The sequence below is a fragment of the Homo sapiens genome, chromosome 7, assembly GCF_000001405.40.
Source record: "Homo sapiens chromosome 7, GRCh38.p14 Primary Assembly".
Lineage (NCBI taxonomy): Eukaryota > Metazoa > Chordata > Mammalia > Primates > Hominidae > Homo > Homo sapiens.
In genome coordinates, this window is record NC_000007.14 from 15,510,058 (window position 1) to 15,531,608 (window position 21,551).

At 36.1% G+C, this 21,551-nt stretch overlaps 1 protein-coding gene across 7 annotated transcripts in view, besides 1 other annotated feature; it reads right to left on the bottom strand.

The window, feature by feature from the left end:
- Nucleotides 1-21,551, bottom strand: part of AGMO (alkylglycerol monooxygenase) — a 444,793-nt gene that overhangs the window by 392,835 nt on the left and 30,407 nt on the right. The gene's annotated exons all lie outside the window — the stretch shown is intronic.
- Nucleotides 7,856-8,664: an enhancer, noted in NCBI's record as "H3K27ac-H3K4me1 hESC enhancer chr7:15557538-15558346 (GRCh37/hg19 assembly coordinates)". NCBI's record gives its function as "activates a minimal SCP1, AML or CMV promoter by ChIP-STARR-seq in primed H9 embryonic stem cells {active_cell/tissue: H9 hESC(primed)}" and the evidence as "EXISTENCE:reporter gene assay evidence [ECO:0000049][PMID:30033119]".

Genomic DNA, 21,551 nt, shown 5'->3' on the forward strand with positions numbered 1-21,551 from the left:
CTGGTTAACATATCAAAAGGAAATAAAACCAGTATAGGGAAGAGATCAGCAGTACCATGTTAATTGCAGCATTATGTCAAAGAGACAAGATATAGAAACAACCTAAGCATCTTTTGTTTTGTTTTTGAGATAGGGTCTCACTCTGTCTCTCAGGCTGAAGCACAATGGTGTGAACATGTCTCACTGCAGCCTCCACCTCCGAGGCTCAAGTGATCCTCCCACTTCTGCCTCCCTAGTAGCTAGGACTATAGGCATGCACCACCATGCCTAGCTAAGTTTTTTTTGTTTTGTTTTGTTTTTAGTACAGACAGGATGGTGCCATGTTGCCCAGGCTAATTTTGAACTCCTGGGCTCAAACAATCCTCTCGTCTCCACCTCCCAAAGTGCTGAGATTACTGACATGAGCAACTGCACCTGGCCCTAAGCATCTGTTTATGGGTAAACGAATAAAGATACTGTGAGATGCTGTCATATATATATCTATATATATCATATATATATGTCATATATGTGATATATATGACATATATAACATAGAAAATTATTCAGTCTTACAAAAGGAGATCTTTCTGTTTACAACAACGTAGATGAACCTGGAGGATATTAACACTATTTGAAATAAGCCACAGAAAGAAAAATACTGCATCATCTCACATGTGGAATCTAAATACATCAAAAACTGTTAAGTCTCTACTTAACGTTATTGACAGTTTCTTGGAAACTGAGACTTCAAGCAAAATTATGCATAAGGAAACATTTTATTACAGGCTGATTAATATAAACAAGAGTTTATATTATAATATAATGTTAATGTTATAAATATAACATATAATATATGTTTATGTATATATGTATAAATATATAATATAATGTTTATATTATATGATAATATAAACAAGTTCCTATGGCTTATTTCTGGTCACAAAAACATCACCAAACTTCTAAAAAAAGATACACAACACTTCTAATGTTAAACATTGACATAAATGTGAACTATACATACATTTAAGAAAGACTAATAGTAAAAAGTAAGATCGTGTTCACCCACTTACTCCAGTTCAGTATCATGGGTGGTTGGAGCTCATCCTGGCAGCTCAGGGCACAAGGCAGGAACCAGCCTTGCACAAGGTGCCATCCTATCACAGGGCACTCACACACCCACCCACATGCACTCATGCAGGACCATGTAGACATGCCAGTGAACCTAATGAGCACATCTTTTATACGTAGTATGAAAGCAAAGTACCTGTAAAAAACCCACACTGATGTGGGAAAAACATGCAAACTCCTCACAGACACTGCTCCTGGCCAGGAATCAATTTTTTTTCTCATCAACATTATAACAAAATGACTTTGAACAAAACAACTTTCTTTGGGGACCTGCTGTAGAAAGAAACAAAGGATAGAGTGGTGGTTATTAGGAGCTGGAGGGCAGAGGAATGGGGAGATGATGGGCAAAGGGCACAAACTTGGACTTATAAGATGGATAAGTTCAGGAGACCTAATGTACAGCCTGGTGACTATAGACAAAGTACTGTATTGTATACTTGAAATTTGCTAAGAGAATAGATCTTAAGTATTCCCATCCCCCAAAAGTAACTATGTGAGGTAATGCACACGCTGATTAACTTGATGTGCTAATCATTTCACAAAGTATACATGTTTCATTGTACATGGAACATGTTGAATATATAGTTTTATTTGTCAATTATACTTCAGCAAAGCTGAAATTCTTTTTAATTAACTTACAAAACAAAAAAGAGGAAATTTGGACACAGACATCCACATGTATAGAACAAAGACCACATAAAGGCAGACAGAGAAGGCAGCCATCCACTGGCCAAGGAGAGAAGCCTCTTAAGGAAACCAGCCCACCAGACACCTTAGTCTGGGACTTACTGTCTCCAGAATCATGGGGAAATACATTCTGTTCTTTAAGCCAAGAGAATACACACAAAAAAAAAAAAGAAAGAGAAGAGAAAAGAAAATGAACATACAAAATAATTTTAATAAGATAACTATGACTTCTTTTGTAGCAGAATGGTATCACTCATACAAATGTTGCAATTTGAGACTGATACAACAGTTACAACTCTTTAATTGTACTAACCTCTTGTGTCATCTTCTAAAATAAAATAGCAAGCACTGATCTCTGTCATACAACACTAATGATGATGTCTGATATTTCTTTTTTAAAATTTATTATTATCATTATTTAGACATGATCTCACTCTGTTACCCAGGCTGGAGTGCAGAGGCGCCAACACGGCACCAACCTCCACCTCCCAGGGCTCAAGTGATCCTCCTGCCTCAGCTTTTCAAGTAGCTGGGACCACAGGCGAATACCACCATGCCTGGCTAATGTTTCTGTTTTTTGTTGAGTCGGGGTTTCATCCTGTTGCCCAGGCTGGTCTCGAACTCCTGAGCTCAATCAATCCACCCTCCTCGGCCTCCCAAAGTGCTGAGATTACAGGCGTGAACCACTATGCCCGGCCTAAAGTCTGATACTCCTTTTTCAATTGATAAGTATGTCAACTAGAGGTTTGCCTACATATTTAGTTGAATTGACTATTTGGAGTGTCTCACATATTGTCACTTAGTAAATTGCTTGCTATTTACTATATGGATTGGTATTCTCAGATAATATTTTCTAGAAATTTTTCTATTTCAATGTATTTTTATTTCCCTATAATTCTTTGGAGTAATGTTAGCATTGGCTCCAAGTACTATTCAATATACATGAAACCGCACTTTATTCTCTATGTTTGCTATCTTTTTTTTCCTTTTTCCTTTTTCCTACTATATTTTGTATAGTTTCTTTCAATCTACTATTGAGTAATGTTCTCTTCTGCTTTATAATCTGTTATCAGATCTGAGTACTCAATTCCATTTTCATAATTCTCATCTCCAGAAATTATTTCTTTTGCAAATTTGCATGTCACTTAAAATTGTTTTTGTAATCTAATTACTTGTGAGATTGCCTTTATTTCCTTAAAGGTATTACACATAGTTGTTTCATAATCTGTGTCTGATACTATTGAAATCTGCAGTTGAGTTTCATTTTTCTTTTGTTTTTGCTGATTGTCAAGCATAATTGCTTGTCTGTTTGTGTGCCTGATGTTCTTTGATATGTGATGGTCATTGCTATTGAAAAAATAATTGAGACATAGACGAACATTACTATTTTCCCAGGGGCTTTTACTTCAGTTTTTATCAGATACCTATAGCACAACTTTAAACCACAAAATGTTGTGGATACACCTGGCATTGTGGATTTTGACTATAATTATCTGTTCGGGCTGGTGTTTGATTTACAAACTCTCTGAGGCTATTTCTGTTTTTTCTTTCTTTATTTCTTCTATTTCCCCAGAATCAAGACAATATTTTCTTCACATTCTGGTGGGAGTGTGGGTGAGGTGGTGGATTTATAACTTTTTGACCCTTACCTTTGTCAAGTCCCCATCAAGGCAGACCCTGAGCTTTTACTCCTACTCTCTTGTCCCCCAAGACAATCAGGATCACTACTTATTTCCATGGCTGTTTCTGCAGGCTTGCCAGTGGCCACACAATAAATGTGGGTTGGAAAGCTACCTTAATTTTCTGTCCTTATTGTTTTCAAGATTGGGCTTGGAGATCTCTCACTATTTTGGCATCTCTCTGAAGCTAGCAAGACAGTTTTTATTTTTCATCCAAGAGTTTTAATTGACCTCTAAGAGGAAACCATTGCTAAAGGAGGAATCTCTCTTCAGTATTTGACACAAAAGATCATTATCTTCTCCTTGAAACACTTTCTTCACTCTCTTTCAGGACTTCACGCCACCACCCTTCTGTGATATTTTTATGCTGCTTCCCTAGTCTAATTTGCTGGTTCCTCCTATGACCCCCAAACACTAAATAATGGAAAACAACAGGGCTAAACTTTTGGAGTGTCTTCTTCCTCCAGACCCATTTCTTTGGATCTCAATCTCTCTCAAAGCTTTTAATACCACCAATATGCTAAAGATGTACAAGTTTATATCTCCAGTCTGAATCTCTTCCCTAAACACCAGTCTTAGATCCAACTTCCTCATTGACATTTCCACTTGGAGGTCTGATACCTCAATTTTAGCATATCTAAAATTGAACTCATCAACTCCTGGCTTATAAAATCTACTTATTGTGCTCTTTTCGGCTTAGCCCGCTTTTCTTTTCTCTGTTAAAGTTTCTGAGATTGACTATGGTATCAATAAGCCAAAGCACCTTAATCACTTAGCACTAATTCTTACGGATTCTGGAATAGTCACCACATACTTGTTATATATGTGAATGATAATAATTAAAACAATGACCGTAGTATGAATATGGTATTTAGTACCAGCCACTGAACACACAATGATTTCATTTAATCTCACCAAACGTTGAGAGATATATAGTATTTATGCCCATGTTACACAGAAAGTTGAGGCTCAGAGAAATTAAGGAATTTGTACACAACTTAAATATCTTCTCTAATCTTCTTTATAAAATCACTGCTCTAAAAATGAAGGGCATTTAAAAACTTGGAAAGGAAGTAAAGAAATGCCTTAAGAGAGTATATGAATATGTGAAAATGCATTTACATCTTCAATAAAAGAATCGTCATATGCATAACTACTTAATGTCATCAAGAAAGGGAAAAAAGTTCTAGTAGTATACTTTGCATGAATAATTGAATTAAGCTTTTTATTCAGCATCTCTTCCTCTTGTCTTTTAGAATTACTGGTTCAGGTGCAGAGACTTCTCCAGAAATGGGTTCATCAACTTTTGGGCAGCTTGCTCACTCCCTCATCTACCACATCTCTGTGCTCAAACACAAATAAGGGAAGGAGAGAAGCTACATCATCTATGTTAGGATTGAGAGGTTGCTGTGGGAGATGGGAGGCAGTGAGTGAGCTCAGCAATGCTGCAACAGTTTATCAAGTGTTGGCCTCCTCTTTCTGCATTTTCTCTACTCACCTTTTTCTCTCACCAATTGTCTGTTTAGGCACGGGAGGAAGTTAAACCCTAGAGAAGTAGCTCATCCATTGGGTGAATTTACAGAGGATGAAAAGGAAGCACTATGACTTTTAAAATTATTCTTTCAATGTGAGGAATCACTTCTGTCTGTTTATGCTTCTGAAACTACTAAAAGGTTTTACTCTGGGAAAACTCTCTAGTGAATTTCCACTGACAACTTTCTCTTTAGTAAAGACCTCCTTCCTAATTCACTTTGAATCAGCTTCCTGTTATCTGAGCAAGTCATCATACTTTTACTTTGGACATTATTTTTCTCTCCAGAATTGTATGAGCTTTAGGAAAACACAGAACCCAAACGGTTCCTTTCTCCCCACTTCTTCAGCTGTGTATTGGAGCTCAGCCAAAGAAGTTCAACTTGAAATCCCAGAGCCCGTTAAATCCCTGGAATTAGAATGTGCTTTGTTGTCATTCCCGTGGATGTACGTTTTGGCTTTTAAAAAGCATGCAAGGCATGGTAACCATGTGGAACATAAAAGACAATTTTGCTGTATATGAATGCATATTTAAATGAAGGCAATATCTGTCTCCAACTAGAACATTCCTGTGTCATGCTCCAATAGCCTTCTCATGTAGAAAGACTGAACTTTTCTTGTTTTATATTTTAAGATATTATTCATAATAGTTTCTAGGAGAATTAAGAAATATATTTCAAAAAGCACAATGTTGTCCTGTAGGATTTATAAGCAATGAAGTCATTTTGTTATTTCTTCAACAGTTTTCTTTAGCCTGAGTTAACTCAGAATATTTTCAAGCTGTTGATGAAGATGTTTAGTACTGTAGACAGGGTATGTGCATAGGAGTAGTTGGGAAGATGCTAGACAAAGGATATAAAATTTCAGTTAGACAGGAGGAATAGGTTCAAGAGATCGATCGTACACCATGGTGACTACAGTGAATAACAAAAATAATAAGTATGTGAGGTATGATGTAAATTACTTTACTACAAAAATAATAAGTATGTGAGGTATGATGTAAATTAGCTCAACTGAGCCATTCCACAATGTATACATATTTCAAAACATAATGTTTTACACAATAAATATATACAAATTTTAATCAATTAAAAATAATGAAATTATTGGAAGTAGGCCAAACATCATAATGTTTTAAATAACAACAATAAAGATTGCTCATACTTAAAAAAGGAAGAGAGAGAGAGAGAAGGAGAAGATGGTGAGGGAAGCATGTACAAAATCCCCCAATTATAGATGAGTAAATATTTTTTAAATGATTCATTTCTATTTTACGGTAAAAATGAATTCATCACAAATGTTCATCTACATATTACAAATGATACAGCAAGTTTTATCATTTTCCAAGTCTCAATTTTATTTAATTCAGTTTATGACCTTTACTGAACTGGTTTTACATATATAAGGTTTTTTAGTGCACTGTTAAATGGTTTAAAAAGATGAAAAAGAAATCTGTTCCTTTAAAAACCTTAAAAAAGTCGGATTACTGAAGGCTGAATGATGTGTTTACTATTTACAACTTCCTTTGTAAAGATGCAGGTATTGCATTCCTTGTCTTTTAAATTGTAACCTTATACATCTGTTGAGCACACATCTGGACACTTAGCTCAATTCATCATTTCCTTCTGTATATCCAAAAACTGTCAGTTATTTCACAGGAGACTCAGCCCTTGGGAGAAGTGAAAAAGTTACATCCTTTTTTTTTTTCAGGTTTTATAAACTCTTCCTTACCTTTTTCTGCAGGATATCGGTGAGTATAAAAATAAGCAGTCTGAATTCCTTCTGGCTCTGGAGAGAGCAGGATGGGAGGATGAGGGGCAAGGGCTTCATTAACATTTGCTTGTATAGAATAAAGAGAAAGAGTCTCCACATGAAAGAACAGACATTGACTGTCCAAAGTCATAACACAAGAGTCTTTTTTTTTTGACAAACTAAATACAATTTGAATGCAGGAAGGAAGCAGCTTGAACACCACTGAGAAAGATCAACACTTTTAAAAGATGAAGAGCTTATATTTGATAATGTTAAATTTTTCAACTCATCAAGACAATATAATGATTTTGAAAGTGTGTATTGTGCATCTAATATCATAGTCCCCAAATATATAAAGTCAAACTTGATGGAATCACAAGAAGGACTTATAATGAATTAATCATAATGCAAGACTTTAGCACACCTCACTCATTAAATTAAAAAGATAACAAAATGGAAAAGAAGAATAGTGTGATTAAAAAATTTAATCTAGTGTGGGGTGTGTGTGTGTGTGTGTGTATATACTTATTTTTTTATTAAGGCACCCAGATTCCCGAGCAAGATGGTCGAATAGAAACAGCTCTGGTCTGCAGCTCCCAGCGAGACCAATGCAGAAGGTGGGTGATTTCTGCATTTCTAACTGAGGTACCTGGCTCATCTCACTGGGACTGGTTAGACAGTGGGTGCAGCCCAAGGAGGCCAAGCAGAAGCAGGGTGGGGCATCGCCTCACCCGGGAAGTGCAAGGGGTCAGGAACTCCTTCCCCTAGCCAAGGGAAGCTGTGAGGGACTGTGCCTTGAGAAAAGGTGCATTCCAGCCCAGACGCTATGCTTTTCCCATGGTCTTCGCAACCCGCAGACCAGGAGATTTCCTTGGGTGCCTACACTACCAGGGAACTGGGTTTCAAGCACAAAATTGGGCGGCAGTTTGGTCAGACACCGAGCTAGCTGCAGGAATTTTCCTTTTTTTTTGTACCCCAGTGGTGCCTGGAATACCAGTGAGACAGAACTGCTCACTTCCCTGGAAAGGGAGCTGAAGCCAGGGAGCCAAGTGGTCTTGCTCAGAGGATCCCACCCCCATGGAGCCCAGCAAGCTAAGATCCACTGGTTTGAAATTCTCCCAGCCAGCACAGTAGTCTGAAGTTGACCTGGGACACTCGAGCTTGGTTGGGGGAGGGGCATCACCATTACTGAGACTTGAGTAGGTGGTTTTCACAGTGTAAAAAAGCCACCAGGAATTTCGGACTGGGCGGAGCCTACCGCAGCTTGGCAAAGCCACTGTAGCCAGACTGCCTCTCTAGATTCCTCCTCTGTGGGCAGGGCATCTCCGAAAGAAAGGAAGCGGCCCTAGTAAGGCACTTACTACATAGATAAAACTCCCATTTCCCTGGGACAGAGCACCTGGGGGAAGGGGCAGCTGTGGGCGCAGCTTCAACAGACTTAAACATTCCTGCCTGCTGGCTCTGAACAGAGCAGCGGACCTCCTAGCACAGCACTGGAGCTCTGCTAAGGGACAGACTGTCTCCTCAAGTGGGTCCCTGATCCCCATGCCTCCTGACTGGGAGACACCTCCCAGCAGGGGTCAACAGGCACCTCATACAGGAGAGCTCTGTCTGGCATCTGGCAGGTGGCCCTCTGGGACAGAGCTTCCAGAGGAAGGAGCAGGCAGCAATCTTTGCTGTTCTGCAGCCTCCACTTGTGATACTCTGGCAAACAGGGTCTGGAGTGGACCTCCAGCAAACTCCAGCAGACCTGCAGAAGAGGGGCCTCACTGTTAGAAGGAAAACTAACAAACAAGAAGCAGTAGCATTGACATCAACAAAAAGGGCGACCACTCAAAAACCCCATCCAAAGTTCACCAACATCGAAGACCAAAGGTAGACAAATCCATAAAGATGAGGAAAAAACAGTGCAAAAAGGGCTGAAAAACCAGAATGCCTCTTCTCCTCCAAAGTATCACAACTCCTCGCCAGCAAGGAAACAAAACTGGATGGAGAATGAGTTTGATGAATTTACAGAAGTAGGCTTTCAGAAGGTGGGTAATAAAAAACTCCTCCAAGCTAAAGGAGCATGTTCTAACCCAATGCAAGGAAGCTAAGAATATTGATAAAAAGTTACAGCAATTGCTAACTAGAATAACCAGTTTAGAGAAGAACAGAAATGATCTAATGGAGCTGAAAAACACAGCATGAGAACTTCCTGAAGCATACACAAGTATCAATAGCCGAACTGACAAGCAGAAGAAAGGATATCAGAGAATGAAGATCAACTTAATGAAATAAAACATGAAGACAAGGTTAAAGAAAAAAGAATGAAAAGGAACAAACAAAGCCTCCAAGAAATATGGGACTATGTGAAGAGATCAAACCTAGGTTTGATTGTTGTACCTGAAAGTGATAAGAAGAATGGAAAACACACTTCAGGATATTATCCAGGAGAACTTCCACAACCCACCAAGACAGGCCAACATTCAAATTCAGGAAATACAGAGAACACCACAAAGATTAGCCTTGAGAAGAGCAACCCCAAGACACATAAAGGTCAGATTCACCAAGGTTGAAATGAAGGAAAAAATGTTAAGGACAGCCAGAGAATAAGGTCGGGTTACCCACAAAGAGAAGCCCAACAGACTAACAGCAGATCTCTCTGCAGAAACCCTACTAGCCAGAAGAGAGTGAGGGCCAACATTCAACATTCTTAAAGAAAAGAATTTTCAACCAGAATTTCCTATCCAGTGAAACTAAGCTTCATAAGTGAAGAAAAAATAAAATCCTTTACAGACAAGCAAATGCTGAGGGATTTTGTCACCACCAGGCCTGCCTTACAAGAGCTCCTGAAGGAAGCACTAAATATGAAAAGGAAAAACCAGTACCAGCCACTGCAAAAGCATACCAAAATGTAAAGACCATTGTCACTATGAAGAAACTGCATCAACTAATGGGCAAAATAACCAGCTAGTATCATAATGACAGGGTCAAATTCACACATAACAATATTAACCTTAAATATAAATGGAACAAATGCCCCAATTAAAAGACACAGACTGGCAAATTGGAGAAAGAGTCAAGGCCCATTGGTGTGCTGTATTCAGGAGACCCACCTCACTTGCAAAAACACACATAGGCTCAAAATAAAGGGATGGAGGAAGATTTGCCAAGCAAATGGGAAGCCAAAAAAAAAAAAAAGAACCAAAAAAAAAAGAAAAAAGAAAAGAAAAATGCAGGGGTTGCAATTCTAGTCTCTGATAAAACATATTTTACACCAACAAAGATCAAAAAAGACAAAGAAGGGCATCATATAATGGTAAAGGCATCAATGCAACAAGAAGAGCTAGCTACCCTAAATATATATGCACCCAATACAGGAGCACCCAGATTCATAAAGCAAGTGCTTAGAGACCTACGAAGAGACTTAGACTCCCAGAAAAAAATAGTGGGAGACTTTAACACCCCATTGTCAATATTAGACAGATCAATGAGATAGAAAATTAACAAGGATATTCAGGTTGTGAACTCAGCTCTGCATCAAGCAGACCTAATAGACATCTACAGAACTCTCTACCCCAAACCAACAGGACATACATTCTTCTCAGCACCATATAGCACTTATTCTAAAATTGACCACACAATTGGAAGTAAAACACTCCTCAGCAAATCCAAAAGAATGGAAATCATAACAAACAGTCTCTCAGACCATAGCGCAATCAAATTAGAACTCAGGATTAAGAAACTCACTCAAAACTGCACAACTACATGGAAACCGAACAAGCTGCTCCTGCATGACTACTGGGTAAATAATGAAATTAAGGCAGAAATAAATAAGTTCTTTGAAACCAGTGAGAACAAAGACACAACATACCAGAATTCTCTGGGACACAGCTAAAGCAGTGTCTAGAGGAAAATTTATAGCACTAAATGCCCATAGGAGAAAGTATGAAATATCTAAAATCAACATCTTAACACTACAATTTAAAAAACTAGAGAAGGAAGAGCAAACAAATTCAAAAACTAGCAGAGGACAAGAAATAACTAAGATAAGAGCAGAACTGAAGGATATAAAGACATGATAAATCCTTCAAAAATCAATGAATACAAGAGCAGATTTTTTGAAAAGATTAACAAAATAGACTGGTAGCCAGATTAATAAAGGAGAAAAGTGACAAGAATCAAACAGACACAATAAAAAAATGATAAAGGGGTTATCACCACTGATCCCACAGAAATACAAACTACCATCAAAGAATACTACAAACACCTCTATGCAAATAAATTAGAAAATCTAGAAGAAATGGACAAATTCCTGGACACATACACCCTCCCAAGACTAAACCAAGAAAAAGTTGAATCCCTGAATAGACCAATAACCAGTTCTGAAATTGAGGCAGTAATTAATAGCCTACCAACCGCAAAAAGGCACAGGACCAGATGGATTCACAGCCGAATTCTACCAGAGGTACAAAGAGGAGCTGGTACCATTCCTTCTAAAACTATTCCGAGCAACAGAAAAAGAAGGAATCCTCCCTAACTCTTTTTATGAGGCCAGCATCATCCTGACACCAAAACCTGGCAGAGGCACAACAAAAAAGGAAAATTTCAGGTCAATATCCCTGATAAACATCAATGTGGAAATCCTCAATAAAATACTGGCAAACCAAATCCAGCAGCACATTAAAAAGCTTATCCCCCATGATCAGGTTGGCTTCATCCCTGAGATGCAAGGCTGGTTCAACATAAGCAAATCAATAAATGTAATCCATCACATAAATGGAACCAATGACAAAAAACACATGATTATCTCAATAGATGCAGAAAAAGCCTTTGATAAAATTCAACACCCCTTCATGTTAAAAACACTCAATAAACTAGGTATTGATACAACGTATCCCAAAGTAATAAGAGCTATTTATGACAAACCCACAGCCAATATCATACTGAATGGGCAAAAGATGGAAGCATTTCCTTTGAAAACTGGCACAAGACAAAGATGCCCTCTCTCATCACCCCTATTCAACATAGAAATGGAAGTTCTGGCCAGGGCAATCAGGCAAGAGAAAGAAATAAAGGGTATTCAAATAGGAAGAGAGGAAGTCAAATTACCTCTGTTTGCAGATGATATGATTGTATATTTAGAAAACCCCATCATCTCAGCCCCAAAATGCCTTAAGCTGATAAGCAAACTCAGCAAAGTCTCAGGATGCAAAATCAATGTGCAAAAATCACAAGCCTCCGTATACAAACAATAATAGACAAAGAGAGAGCCAAATCATGAGTGAACTCTCATTCACAATTGTTACCAAGAGAATAAAATACATAGGAATACAACTTACAAGAGATGTAAAGGACCTCTTCAAGGAGAACTACAAACCACTGCTCAAGGATATGAGAGAGGACACAAACAAATGGAAAATTATTCCATGCTCATGGATAGGACGAATCAATATCATGAAAATGGCCATACTGCCCAAAGTAATTTATAGATTCAATGCTATCTCCATGAAGCTACCATTGACTTTCTTCACAGAATTAGAAAAAAACTATTTTAAATTTCATATGGAACCAAAAAAGAGCCTGTATAGCCAAGACAATCTAAGCAAAAAGAAGAAAGCTGGAAGCATCATGCTACCTGACTTCAAACTATACTACAAGGCTAAAGTAACCAAAACAGCATGGTACTAGTACCAAAACAGGTATATAGAACAATGGAACAGAACAGAGGCCTCAGAAATAACACCACACATCTACAACCATCTGTTCTTTGACAAATCTGATAAAAGCAATGGGAAACAGATTCCCCATTTAATAACTGGTGTTGGAAAAACTGGCTAGCCATATGCAGAAAACTGAAACCGGACCCCTTCCTTACACCTTATACAAAAATTAACTCGAGATTTATTAAAGATTTAAACATAGGTCCTCAAACCATAAAAACCCTAGAAGAAAACCTAGGCAATACCATTCTGGACATAGGCATGGGCAAATACTTCATGACTAAAACACCAAAAACAATTGCAAAAAAAGCCAAAATTGACAAATGGGATCTAATTAAACTAAAGAGCTTCTGCACAGCAAAAGAAACTATCATCGGCATGAACAGACAACCTACAGAATGGGAGAATATTTTTGCAATCTATCCATCTGACAAAGGGCTAATATTCAGACTCTACAAAGAACTTAAACAAATTTACAAGAAAAAAACAACCTTATCAAAAAGTGGGCAAAGGATATGAACAGACACATCGCTAAAGAAGACATTTATGCGGCCAACAAACATATGAAAAACAGTTCATCATCACTGGTCATTAGAAAAATGCAAATCAAAACCACAATGAGATACCATCTCACACCAGTTAGAATGGCAATCATTAAAAAACAGATGCTGGAGAGGATGTGGAGAAATAGGAATGCTTTTACACTGTTGGTGGGAGTGTAAATTAGTTCATCCATTGTGGAAGACAGTGTGGCAATTCCTCATGGATCTAGAACTAGAAGTACCATTTGACCTAGCAATCCCATTACTGGGTATACACCCAAAGGATTATAAATCATTCTACTATAAAGACACATGCACACATATGTTTATTGCAGCACTATTTACAATAGCAAAGACTTGGAACCCACTCAAATGCCCATCCATGATAGACTGGATAAAGAAAATGTGGCACATATACACCATGGAATACTATGCAGTCATAAAAAATAATGAGTTTACATCCTTTACAGAGACATGGATGAAGCTGGAAACTATCATTCTCAGCAAACTAACACAGGAACAGAAAACCAAACACTGCATGTTCTCATTCATAAGTAGGAGTCGAACAATGAGAATATATGGGCATAGGAAGGGGAACATCAGACACTTGGGCCTGTCTGGTGGTGGAGTCAAGGGGAGGAAGGGATAGCATTAGGAGAAATACCTAATGTAGATGACAGGTTGATGGGTGCAGCAAACCACCATGGCACATGTATACCTATGTGACACACCTGCTCATTCTGCACATGTATCCCAGAACTTAAGTATAATAATAATAAAAAAGACACCCAGGAAGAATAAAAAATATAGCATTTAACTTACTAAATGGTTAACTACATGGTATGGTCATAGTAAGGTTGAGGGAAAATGAAATGTAACAGTATGTCTGAAAATGCATTTTATATGCTTTTGAAATATTTTAGATACATATAAAAATAAAAGTAAATACAAACAATTGAAGCCTAGTAGTAAACTTTCTGTTTGATATTTTTGTTGTGTATGTATTTGTATATGACATAGCAAATAATTAATATATACTATTATTATAAACTAAGATTTTCAATGTTAGACAATAGAAGTATAAATATGAAAGTGTAAGAGTAAAATGCTAAAATAGTAAACTTGAATTTGAGATATCAACATAAGATTATATATACTTTTTTTTTATATTCATATACACATACATATATTCTATCTCTGTCCACTAGGAGGAACAGGAAGAATATGCTGGGTAATGGTGTAAAAGGAATAATAGATTTTTTAAAATCATGATTTTATAACTCCAGTATAATAATTGATTCAGACGATTTTCAAAAATGAAGGCTAAAATAATTATGAAATGTTTGGTGGAACTAAGACATACCTATGTGCTAAAGTTTAATTGGTAATTATTTATAAAAAATGCTAATTTTTGACAACTAATTAAATTTTTAATGGCCCACAGGAAATTTGTATTTTCCTTACTTTATTGAATCAGTTTGGATATGCAACCATATTTTTCTAGAAACAGGTCTTTGTGGCCGGGCACACTGGCTCATGCCTGTAATCCTAGCACTTTGGGAGGCCAAGGTGGGCAGATCACCTAAGGTTGGGAGTTTGAGACCAGCCTGGCCAACATGGAGAAACCCCATCTCTACTAAAAATACAAAAATTAGCCAGGCATGGTGCACATGCCTGTAATCCCAGTTACATGGGAGGCTGAGGCAGGAGAATCACTTGAATGCAGGAGGCCAACGTTGCAGTGAGCTGAGATCACGCCATTGCACTCCAGCCTGGGGAACAAAAGCAAAATTCCATCTCAAAAAAAAAAAAAAGAAAGAAATATGTCTTTGTATGTCTTTGTTTATTTCACACACACAAATAATATATATAGAATTATATGTATGTAAAATTTATAATACTGGTGGAAACTAAAAATAAATCCTAACCCCCACTGACTGAATGGATCTCTTCTTGGTCAAGGGGACCCCAGAAAAACCTTAAAAACTGAATTCTTGGCCATGACAAAAAGGGAAGTCAGTCCTGCTTCATAATACTCCCTTCCTTTTGGAGTTCAGGCACAGCAACTGAGAAGCTTTTATGTTAAAATAGAAGTCTTCAGGCTGACAAAACAGACTCTTCATGGCAATAATGATAACGACAGGAAGCAGACAAATCCTAGGCAGATAGGGGTGGGCCCCTGGTGAAACCCGACTTTCAAACCAAAGACAGTTTAAAGCCTGAAAAACCAAGTCACAATCTTGGATAAATCTGCGGACTAGATTGAGAACCCTTCCTCCCATTTGGTATGACTTCCTCTGATTGATCCCCACCCTTCAACTATTTTACATATACCTACCCTTCCCTAATTGGTTTTTTACACTGCCATGCTCACCTTTGAGTGGTGTCTTTCAGCCTCTTTTGCATACTCACAAACCAATCAGCATGCACTCCCCAATTCTGAGCCCGTAAAAGCCCCAGCTGAGAGAGAGACCCCGCTGAGATCTGTTTCATTGTTCAAAAAAATTCTTCTCCGCCCTCTTCACCCTTCAACTTTCAGGGAGATCTCATTCTTCTTGGATGCAGGACAAGAACTCAGGACTCATCAAATGCAGGTACAAAGAAGACGGTAACACCGTGGCCCTCTGCCCTTGACCGGGTAAGGGTAGCCGCCCCACTTGATGAGAAGCAGAGGCGTAGCTGAGCCAGCCCAGGAGCCCCAGGCTGGAGAGGGGTAACGGGCTGACAGAACAGTGAGTGCACCGCCACCCATCAGGCTGCAGACAGTGGGCTAAAAGAGCTAATTAGCATGCTGTAACACACCCTCTGGGGCCTCAGGGTTGCAGGCACCTCTCTCTGGGCACCACTGCATTCCCCTCGTCTGAACACTGGAATCCACTGCAGGAGTTGCTTGCAACACGCCTAGTCCAGCCGCAAGCCCTGCATGGAACTCACTCCTGTGCCAGTGTTTAGAACCACGGGCCGCAGCTCGCACTAGCTCACTCACACACCTCCTCCCACCAGGGACTGAGTGCGCAGTCATGGTGGCCATGGGATTCACGCCAGGGTGCAAGCCAGGCACTGCCCGGCGGGCTGAGTAGATGGGGTGTCTCCTGCAGCGAACCCGGGTGGGAGCAAGGCCTGGGCAGGGGCGTTGCTGGCCGAAGGTCTCTAGCTGGCAAAGTGACTGAGAAAAATCCTGCATCATTTTGATACCAAATAATAAATAAGACTTAAGGCCCTACAAAGCAAAAGTTAAGTCTTGTCTGCAGGCCATCAATCTTGCTACATGGCATCCTTAACTTAAAACATTTCTTTTTGCTGACTCCAAGTTTTAGTGAGAGCCTTACTTCTTTAACAAATCGGAAAGTAAAGAGTCTCTTAAATTACCTATAACCTGCAAGTCCCCACTGCAAGATATCTCGCCTTTTCTGGCCAAACCAATGTATACTTTCCATGCATTGAGTTATGCGTTTGCCTGTAAGTCTTACCTCCCTAAAATTTATAAAACCAAAACCGTAATCCAGCTGCCTTGGGACCACTTAAGCCTTCTTGGGTTTGTGTTTTCCTGAGCCATGGTCACTCATATTGGCTCAGAATAAACCTATTTTAAATATTTTACAGAGCTTGCTTTTTTCCATTAACACAAGCATACCTCAGTTTATTGTGCTACACTTTATTGGGCTTTGCAGATATTGCATTTTTTGCAAATTGAAGGTTTGTGGCAACCTTGTGTCTAGCAATTTTATCACCACCATTTTTCCAACAGCATGTGCTCACTTTGTGTCTCTGTATCACACACTGGTAATTCACACAATATTTCAAACTTTTTCATTATTATTGTATCTGTAATGGTGACCTATGACCAGTTACTATTACAATTGTTTTAGGGGTCTCTCTATGTTGCCATTAAGTTAATGGATAAATGTTTTGTGTGTTCTGAGTACTCCACTTACCTGCAGTTCCCCTGTCTTTCTCTCTCTCATTGTGCCTCCCTGTTCCCTGAGACACAGCAATATAGAAATTAAGCCAATTAATAACCCTACAATCACCTCTAAGTGTTCAAGTAACAAAAAAAAGTTTCACATATCTCTCACTTTAAATTAAAAGCTAGAAATGATTAAGCTTAAGAAGGAAGGTAAGTTAAAACCTGAGATAAGATTAAAAGCTAGACCTCTTGTGGAAAGCAGCCAAGTAGTGGATATCCAGCAAAGAAGTTCTTGAAAAAAATTAAAAGTTCTAGTCCAGTGAACATATGAATGATAAGAAAGCAAAACAGCCTCATTGCTGATTTGAAACAAGTTTTAGTGTTCTGGATAGAAGATCAAACTAGCCACAATTTCCTTTGGGCCAAAGCCTAATCCAGAGCAAGACCCTAAGTCTCTTCAATTTTATGAGGGATGAAAGGGATGAGGGAGCTGCTGAAGTAAAGCTTGAAGTTAGCAGAGGTTGGTTCATGAGGTTTAAGGAAAGAAGCCATCTTCATAAAATAAAAGCACAAGACAAGCCAACAAGTGTTGATCTGGAAGCTACAGTAAGTTACCCAGAAGATCTAGCTAAGACCATTCAAGGTGGCTGCACTAAACAATAGATTTTCATTGTAGACTAAATAGCCATATATTGGAAGAAGATGCAATCTACAATTTTCATAGTTAGAAGTTTGAAAGCTTCAAAGAACAGGCTGACTCTCTTGTTTGGGGCTAATACAGGTGGTGGCTTTAAGATGAAGCCATTTACCATTCCAAATATTGCAGGGCTCTTAAGAATTATGCTAAATGTACTCTGCCTGTGCTCTAGAAATGGAAAAACAAAGCCTGGATTACAGCACATCTGTTTACAGCATGGTTTGCTGACTATTTTAAGCTTAGTATTGAGATGTATTGCTCTGAAAAAAAAAGAATTCTTTCAAAGTATTACTGCTTCTTGTCAATGTACATGGTCTCCCATGAGCTCTGATGAAGATGTACAAGGAAATCAATGTTTTGATGCCTGCTAACAAAATATCCATTCTGCAGCATGTGGATCAAGGAGTAATTTCAACTTTCCAGCCTTACTATTTAATAAATGCATTTTGTAAGGCTACCATTGCCATAGATAGTGATTCATCTGATGGATGGATATGATTTATTGAAGGCCCTGATGATCATTAGCATCTTTAGCAAAAAAAGTGATTTGTGATTAAAGTATATATATATTGTTTTTATAGATATAATGCAATTGCACACTTAGTAAACGACAGTGTAGTATTAGTATAAGCATAAATTTTATATGCTCTAGGAAACAAAAAAAATTGGTGTGAGTTTCTTGATTGCGATATTCACTTTATCATGCTGGTCTGGAGCCTAACCCACAACATCTTCAAAGTACACTTGTGTTACCATACATAATATTATATATTATACATAAGGCATCCTGTCTTGTGGTAATCCTGATCTGAAGTACCTAACATCGTTTATGAACTTTTTTTGCCAAAAAATATTTAACCTCAATCTAATCAATCCAGAGTCTGAAACTGACATCCAGTTTGCAGAGAGTTCAGAAGACAGAGGGAAACATTAAGCAGTACTAGGAGGAACAATCAGATGACTGGAATACAGACCATTTTTATTTATTTATTTATTTTGAGACGGAGTTTCACTCTTTTTTGCCCAGGCTGGAGTGCAATGGCACGATCTCGGCTCACCGCAACCTCCGCCTCCTAGGTTCAAGTGATTCTCCCACTTCAGACTCCCAAGTAGCTGGGATTACAGGCATGCGCCACCACACCCGGCTAATTTTGTATTTTTATTGGAGATGGAGTTTCTCCATGTTGGTCAGGCTGGTCTCGAACTCCCAACCTCAGGTGATCCGCTTGCCTCAGCCTCCCAAAGCACTGGGATTAGAGGCATGAGACACCGCGCCCGGCCAACCATTATTACAAGACAACTCTCCTGGACTCAGATGTAAATTGCATAAGAAAGTGGGGTTATGGCATCAACTTAAAAGACACAAAAAGACAAAAAAAACCTTGTGGATAAACATTGATTTGATCTAATTAAAACGTTCAAAACAGACATTCTCAGCTTAATTGGGGGAATTCTTAAAATGCACTGACAACATTAGATAATATAATCGATTTATTGCTCAATTTCTTAGGTATAATCATGGTGTTTTTAAAAGAAAAATGTTATTATTATTGGAGGATGCATCATGTAGTACTGGGGTGGTTATATTTCAACATACATGGAAAGTATTGAAACAAATGTACCACCCTATAATATTTAAATATATATTACTGTTAATGTAACTTCAAAAGAACTGGCATGTTGCTTGTTTCATCTGTCAATAATCTTCAATAAGTAGACACTATTATTTAATTTGGGCTACACACTAAAGTAACTGGGTAGTTTAAAACAACATCAACAAAAAAAACAACAATTAAGCTCAGGTTCTACCCCCTAGAGATTCTAAGATTCTAGTTCTTAGACTAGAATCTGTTCTTAGACTAGAATATATATATATTCTATATATATAGAATATATATTCTATATATAGAGTATATATAGTATATAAACTCTATATATAGAGTATATATATAGAATATATATATAGAATATATATATATACTATATATTCTATATATATTCTATATATATTCTATATATAGAATATATATTCCATATATACTATATATATACTATATACTCTATATATATTCTATATATATATTTCTATATATATATTTCTCTATATATATTTCTCTATATATATTTCTCTATATATATATTCTATATATATATTTCCATATATATTCTATATACATATTTCCATATAGATATTCTATATACGTATTTCCATATAGATATTCTATATACGTATTTCCATATAGATATTCTATATACGTATTTCCATATAGATATTCTATATACGTATTTCCATATAGATATTCTATATACGTATTTCCATATAGATATTCTATATACGTATTTCCATATAGATATTCTATATACGTATTTCCATATAGATATTCTATATACGTATTTCCATATAGATATTCTATATACGTATTTCCATATAGATATTCTATATACGTATTTCCATATAGATATTCTATATACGTATTTCCATATAGATATTCTATATACGTATTTCCATATAGATATTCTATATACGTATTTCCATATAGATATTCTATATACGTATTTCCATATAGATATTCTATATACGTATTTCCATATAGATATTCTATATACGTATTTCCATATATATTCTATATACGTATTTCCATATATATTCTATATACGTATTTCCATATATATTCTATATACGTATTTCTATATATATATTCTATATACGTATTTCTATATATATTCTATATACGTATTTCTATATATATTCTAAATACGTATTTCTATATATATTCTATATACGTATTTCTATATATATATTCTATATACGTATTTCTATATATATTCTATATACGTATTTCTATATATATATTCTATATACGTATTTCTATATATATTCTATATACGTATTTCTATATATATTCTATATACGTATTTCTATATATATATTCTATATACGTATTTCTATATATATATTCTATATACGTATTTCTATATATATATTCTATATACGTATTTCTATATATATATTCTATATATGTATTTCTACATATATTCTATATATACATTTCTATATAGATATTCTATATATACATTTCTATATAGATATTCTATATATACATTTCTATATATATTCTATATATACATTTCTCTATATATTCTATATATACATTTCTATATATATTCTATATATATATATTCTATATATAGATGACTGTATATAGATGACTGTATTCCAGATGACTGGAATACAGACCATTTTTGTTTATTTATTTTGAGATGGAGTTTCGCTCTTTTTTGAATACATATATATTCTATATATATTCTATATGTATATTCTATATATATTCTATATATTCTATATATATTCTATATATTCCATATATATTCTATATATATTCTATATATATTCTGTATATATTCTATATATATTCTATATATATATTCTATATATATTCTATATATATTCTATATATATTCTGTATATATTCTATATATATTCTATATATATTCTATATATATATTCTATATATTCTATATATATTCTATATATATATTCTATATATTCTATATATATTCTATATATATATTCTATATATTCTATATATATTCTATATATATTCTCTATATACATATTCTCTAAAAATATTCTCTATATATATTCTATACATATATTCTATATATATTCTATATATATTCTATATATATTCTATATATATATTCTATATATATTCTATATATATTCTATATATATATTCTATATATATTCTATATATATTCTATATATATATTCTATATATATTCTCTATATATATTCTATATATATTCTCTATATATATTCTATATATATTCTATATATATTCTCTATATATATTCTATATATATTCTCTATATATATTCTATATATATATTCTCTATATATTCCATATATATATTCTATATATATTCTATATATATATT